At 39.0% G+C, this 6072-nt stretch overlaps 1 long non-coding RNA gene across 1 annotated transcript in view, besides 2 other annotated features; it reads left to right on the top strand.

Annotated features, from left to right (window-relative positions):
• Nucleotides 32–111: a silencer, noted in NCBI's record as "silent region_16589". NCBI's record gives its function as "represses an Ori minimal core promoter by ATAC-STARR-seq in GM12878 lymphoblastoid cells {active_cell/tissue: GM12878}" and the evidence as "EXISTENCE:reporter gene assay evidence [ECO:0000049][PMID:35858748]".
• LOC105377700 (uncharacterized) overlaps nt 229–6072 on the top strand; it is a 348217-nt gene continuing 342373 nt past the window's right edge. The window contains exon 1 of the long non-coding RNA XR_001742962.3: nt 229–368. This is a non-coding gene — a long non-coding RNA (uncharacterized LOC105377700). The remainder of the gene's footprint in view (nt 369–6072) is intronic.
• Nucleotides 302–351: an enhancer, noted in NCBI's record as "active region_23575". NCBI's record gives its function as "activates an Ori minimal core promoter by ATAC-STARR-seq in GM12878 lymphoblastoid cells {active_cell/tissue: GM12878}" and the evidence as "EXISTENCE:reporter gene assay evidence [ECO:0000049][PMID:35858748]".

The raw sequence follows: 6072 nt of genomic DNA, 5'->3' as shown, positions 1-6072 counted from the left end.
CTCGCGAGAAGGGGGCATTTTCGCCGCTGATTGGTGTAATTCTTTTGATGGATGGCCTCCGCGATCCGTAAACGGCTGGGCCGTGGAGTGAGAAGTCCGGCCAATCGGCTCACACTTCCCGTTATCTGGCCTCAAATTCCCCGGCCCCCTTCCACGCCCCTACCTCTAAGCGTCTCTCATTGGAGAATTTAACAAAGTGTCTTCATTCAGTAGGGGGCCAAACTAAATACTCGGTGCAGCAACCCTCGCCTGGGTCAGGTCAATCGGCTGCCAGCCGGATTGGCCGGCGTATCATTCCAGAATGTACTGTTTGTTCTGTGGGGTTTAGGAGTTCTACAGTGGTTCTGCCCCATCTTTCTAAAAATACAGTGAGTAGTTAAAAAAAAAAAAGTCAACCTTTGATTTTTAATTACAGATAAAGAGGTGGTGGAATTTATATGGTTTGGTGGTTTATCAACTTCCAGAGTGCTCTCTTCGTGAACTTTGGAAGTCAGTTGATTCTTGCCTTAGTTTGCTTTTTATACAATTTATCAAATAATGGAGTTGGACTGTGTAATTTCTTGACCCTCTACCAATTTTCTGAATTTGCTTTTAAAGCAAATTTAAAGAGAAAAGTTGGTACAATTTTTCAGTTGCTTAAAATGAAAGGTATGTGGCAGACTGTTAACAGGAATAATTGTGGTGAGTGTGAATCTCAGTCTACAGACCCGAGTGTAAAGCAGTATTACTCTTTGTATTTACCATAATGAATTTAATCTCTGTGAGCCTCTCCTATGCCAGATTAGTGGGAAAATAATTAGCCTGAACTCTTCTTAGACTCTCCTCACTCTCACTCTCCCAGATCATCACAAGTGAGAAAAGTCCATTTGTAAAAGGGCCTGAAAAAGGGTGCACAAGGAGTCATTTCTAAACTCTTATGAATTACACAGTAGTTGGATGTCTCTGTTCTCATGGCCCCAGTTCGGTCTCTCTTACTTTGAAAAAGTGAAAATCTGAAAGATTTGCCGTCACTCTGCTATTTGCCCTGCCGTGTACTTACCCAAGGCAATGCCACAGAACAAAACTCTGGAAAGGGGGAAAAGGGGTGGGGAGGAAGGGGAAGGAAAAACAGGAGAAAACATCAATACCTCACAATAATACCTTAGCCACATAATCAGGTCAGTTTAAGAAACTGGGGCTCAAATGGGGAAGAGGCCTTTGTTCCTTTTGAAAATAAAAGCTTACCTAGTGAATATAAATTGGCAATTTATAACCTTTAACAAGTGATTTTATTTAAAAATACTTTTTGCTGTAATGTGTGAGTTTATAAATGTAGTTTCTCCTTTTGGCTTTTAGTTCCTATTATTCCTAATTCCTAAAATTAGGAATGTATATGCACAATTTTTAAAAAAAATGGCTAAAAAATCATAAAATCTTTATGGCAGGCTGGGCGCGGTGGCCCACACCTATAATCCCAGCACTTTGGGAGGCAGAGGCGGGTGGATTACCTGAGGTCAGGAGTTTGAGACCAACCTGGCCAACATGGTGAAACCCCGTCTCTACTGAAAATACAAAAATTAGCTGGGCATGGTGGCACGTGCCTGTAATCCCAGCTACTCGGGAGGCTGAGGCAGGAGAATCGCTTGAACCTGGGAGGTAGAGGTTGCAGTGAGCCGAGATGGTGCCACTGCACTCCAGCCTGGGCAACAGAGCAAGACTTGGTCTAAAAAAAAAAAAATTCTTTATAGCAATCAAAAGCACGAATAAATTAACTAATATTTATTGAACACATAGCATAGGCCAGTGGAGAACAAATTAGACTGGTACCCGTCCTTGTAGAACATGTAACCTGTGGGCAATATAAACACATAGACTTTAGAATAAAATAAACTTATATTCATATCCAGGAATAGCTCATAACTTGTTATGTGACTTTCAGCAAGTTATTTAATCACATTTTCTTTTCTCAACAATGAGAAGTAAAAAATACATTATTCATGGGGTTATGAAGAGGATTAAATAATAGAAAGTGCATAAAGAGGTAGTCACTATTCCCAGATCACAGTAGATTTCTTGATAAATGGTAGCCCTTAGTATTAAATTACTATTTCTTTTTAAATATCTTGCTTAAACACACTTTGATGTGTTTTCTCTGTTATCAGACTAGTCTTCTGTTTTCAGCCTAGAAGGATAATCAGAGTATTAGAACTGTTTATTTAACACAGATAAAAATATCTAAATTGCATGTATTAATTTCTATACGTTTTTATACTTGAAATTTTCACTTGAGGGCTTTTAGGTAATATATCATTGTTTATATAATACAGTATTTTCTCGTACATTAGAATATTTTTACTTTTTATTAAAATCTCTCACATAAAAATATTTCACTAGTACTGGAGAGACATTAATTAAATATAAATCAAGTCAAATTGAAATTCTTTACTTTTCTTCCTCCCTTAACCCCCTCTGCCATTTTCATTTCAAAATGTTAGAATATAGACCATCATTTAAATAATTGAAAAGACCTAATTAGCAAAATGTGGAAATGTAATACTCAGTTATCCACTCTTGTAAAATAAAGATAATGAGCCCTTCGTTAACTATGATTTTATTTTTAAAGAAGTGTGGATTTAATCATGAATTCCTATTGAAAATTTGTTAAATGACTGACTTCTGGGGGTATATTCTAGGCTCAATGATGTATTCAATTCCTATCCTCATACCTTCTTCTCCATTAACAGTTAAGTACAACAAGAACTAATGGTCAGAATAATGGCCTTGAGGCTGGGCAAGAATCCAGGCAGTAACGGGAAGATGTAATCATATTCTCCGCATGGTAGGCTGTAGACATGCCTTTCAACAACAAAGATTATAACAAGCAGGTATAAAACAGTGGTGGTGTGTCAAATACTGCCCTGACTCACAGGGAAATTCCCGGTTGGCTTTGTTTGTTTCCATCTTGGAGATGTGGGAGTCTGTGCCTTCCCTCCTGCACACAATGTCCAATCACCTTACCCTCTTTTCAGGCTCCCTAATAAATGTCTGGTACTTTTGTGTGTAGCCTTGTCCAACTATGATAAGGGCCAAGGAAGTGAGGGTCAAAAAGATCTCAGCTGAGTTCCCTTCTGCTTTCTGATCCTTCCTGTAACTGTGCATTACAGCCTCCTCCACTTCTCTAGCTGTTCTCTAGTGCATCTAGTCTATCTTATTCATTTGAAGTTAACTTGCTTGTCAGTGGCTCCTTTAATTCTTTATTAGTTTATGGGACACCAGTGAAATTAAGTATGGTTGGGAGGAGAAAGACAGAGAAGGATACATAAAAAACATAGATTAACAATTCCATGAATATCCTTCTACTCAGAGGTTCTAGCTACCACTTCTATACTCAGATAAAGTAACCCCTTCCAATTAATTGAGGTTTTACTATATATTTCATGAAAAACTAAATTTTTGACTCATCAAGTAACCACTGCTATATAAAGGCACTGGGTCACATTAGAGGGGGATCCTCTGTTCTCTAATGGCTTTAGACTCTGTTGAGTACAAAGCTTAAAGCCAAGACCAGCCAAAAACGTACTATATAGGGTTTGCATTTATTATATGTTTCCCATGTGCCAGGTCATCGTGCTGAACTTAAACACACCTGCCTTTGACAACTCTGATATTTTTATTCTCTTCAGAAATGTGGGATATTTTATATATCTCATGTTTAGTAACTGTTTACTATTTACTAAATATACTTCACACAAAACTTGAATTTGGATTTTTCTGCAGTTTTTTAAAAAGTTTCTATTTCAGAACATTTAAGTCTCATTACCCAGCTTCAATAATCAACATTTTGCCCATGTTGACTGTTTACTTTGTTTGTCTATCAACAAGTATTTCTTGAGAACTTTGTAAGTGCCAGACCATTGTATTTTGTAATCCCAGATAAAAAATGCTGCTACAGCTTTTGAGCCACAGGATGTGTTGGCTGCTGTTCTCTGTGAACGTAAGACGTCAGAAGGATCAGCTGGGTCATTGTCCTCCAGTCAGAAGCCAACACTGCAGGTGTCTCTGTTGTCTCCTGCTTTGGAAGGAGAAGGAATGGGAAGGCAAGAACAATTTCCTTTCTTATCCAGGTTTCTGCCTAGGTTGCTAACCTTCCTCCCCCAAAAGCAAACACACACACACACCCAAACACACACACACACACACACACACACACACACACCCCATGTACACAAAACGTTTTGGCGGAGTTGAGAATTGGACTTAAGGCCTTCCTTGTTTCACGTTACTACCTTCCTTATCTTTCTAGCCTTTTAACTCTTTTATCCCCCTCTCTGATTTTGCCAACCCTTTTCTCTTTTCTCTCCCCAAACCTCAGTTTTCTAATAATTAGTACATCCCAAGGTTGTTTTTCACTGCCTGTACTGTTGGTAGGGTCAGAGCCTCTTCGTGGCTTTCAGGTTCTATGGCTGGTAGAGGGCAGTGAGGAGCCCTCCCTTGGCATTCCAAGGGTTGGTGGGTGAGTGTGGAGGAAAAACACCCAAGTTAGGGTAATGTATTCCACATTACAGTTTGTCTTCAAATCAAACAAAACAAAGCAAAACAAATAAAAAACTTTCCAGAGAAATGCATGAATAACCATAAAAATAAGTGCTATGACAGAGCCATGCATAGGGTATCAGGGGAACACACAAGAAGACTTAAACAAAATCAGGGGGGTCAGGGAAGGAGTGAAGGGAAGGGATCTTTGTAGAAGTCTTCCAAGATACTGTGACTCCTGATCTGAGTTTTTTAGGGATTTAGCCAAGTGAAGAGGCTGGTGCAAAGGGCATTGCAGACAAAATCAACAGTATATGCAAAGGCACAATCGAAAGAGAGAATAAACTGATTTCTGCAAATGAAATAGAGATTACTCTGGCTAAAGTACAGAGGCTATGGAGGGAGGTGGTTTAGCAGTGAAACTGGGGAGAGAAGCAGTTGCTCATGTTGAGGGGCCATGTATACCATGTATACCATTCTTGAAATGTTGGACTTTGCAGACTTTGGGGAACCAACCATGGAATTTAAAAAGAACACCACAATTGGGTATGTGATTTGGGATGACCACTTGGCATCAGGGTGAAGATTGGAGAGATGGGCCAAGACTGGAGGCAGGAAGAACAGTTTAAAGGTCATTGCCTTAACCTAGGAAAAAACAGAAGTTTGCATTGAACTTTAGCAAAAGTTTGAATTGGGGTTCTATTCATGTATTTATCAGAGAATACAGAAAAAAGACTGGGTTTGCTGGAGGAAAACTTTAAGTTCAAGATGTCTGAGGGACTTCCAGGTGGAGGTGTTGAAAAGGCAGCTAGAGAAACATTTGTTGCTGCAGGTATCTTTGGGACTCATCAGAAATAGGGGGTGATTTGAGTCATGGAAATAGATCAGTTCAGGAGAGTTGAAGATGATAAATCTGAAGAGAGAATCTAGGGAAAAGGAGTCTCCAAAGGGAATCTAGGAGAAGAGAGAGACAGAAGAGGGAAATAAGGAGAGAGGATGTTACAGGAATGAGGAGACAGTGTTTCAAGGAGAGAGTGAGCACCAGTATCTGATGCTGCAGAGAGGATAAAACAGTATGAACAAGAAAGAAAGAATATGAAACCAATGAGTATATAAGCCATTCTTGCAATGAACTTGACTATAAGGGGTAGAGGCAATGGCCAGAGGGTGGACATGGTGATGAGAAAGAGAGTTTGCTTTTCAAAGATGAGCTAGTTATGTGCCTGTTTAAATGATGTCAGGAAGGAACCAGCAGGTTAAAGATGTATCTGACTGCTGGAACAATCTGAAGCCTCATATGACACTGGTCAATTTAATTGACACTAGTCGATTTACACTCAGTCAGCTGTATTGTTATAGAAGCTTCTATTCAAATACAGACTACAATGGAAGCAAACAACACAAAAGAGCAGAAATTCTATGTATTTAGCATGCTTAAAATTCTCTGAGTAGATGTTAAGAATGATCACAAAATGTTTTATAAATGTTTTTGTTTTCTGTAGCGATTTTTTATGCCTGATTTTTAGTTTCAAATTATTCAAAGGTCTCTCCCTGATTTAA

Source organism: Homo sapiens, chromosome 5 (genome assembly GCF_000001405.40).
Source record: "Homo sapiens chromosome 5, GRCh38.p14 Primary Assembly".
Lineage (NCBI taxonomy): Eukaryota > Metazoa > Chordata > Mammalia > Primates > Hominidae > Homo > Homo sapiens.
This window is presented reverse-complemented; position numbering and strand designations above follow the sequence as displayed.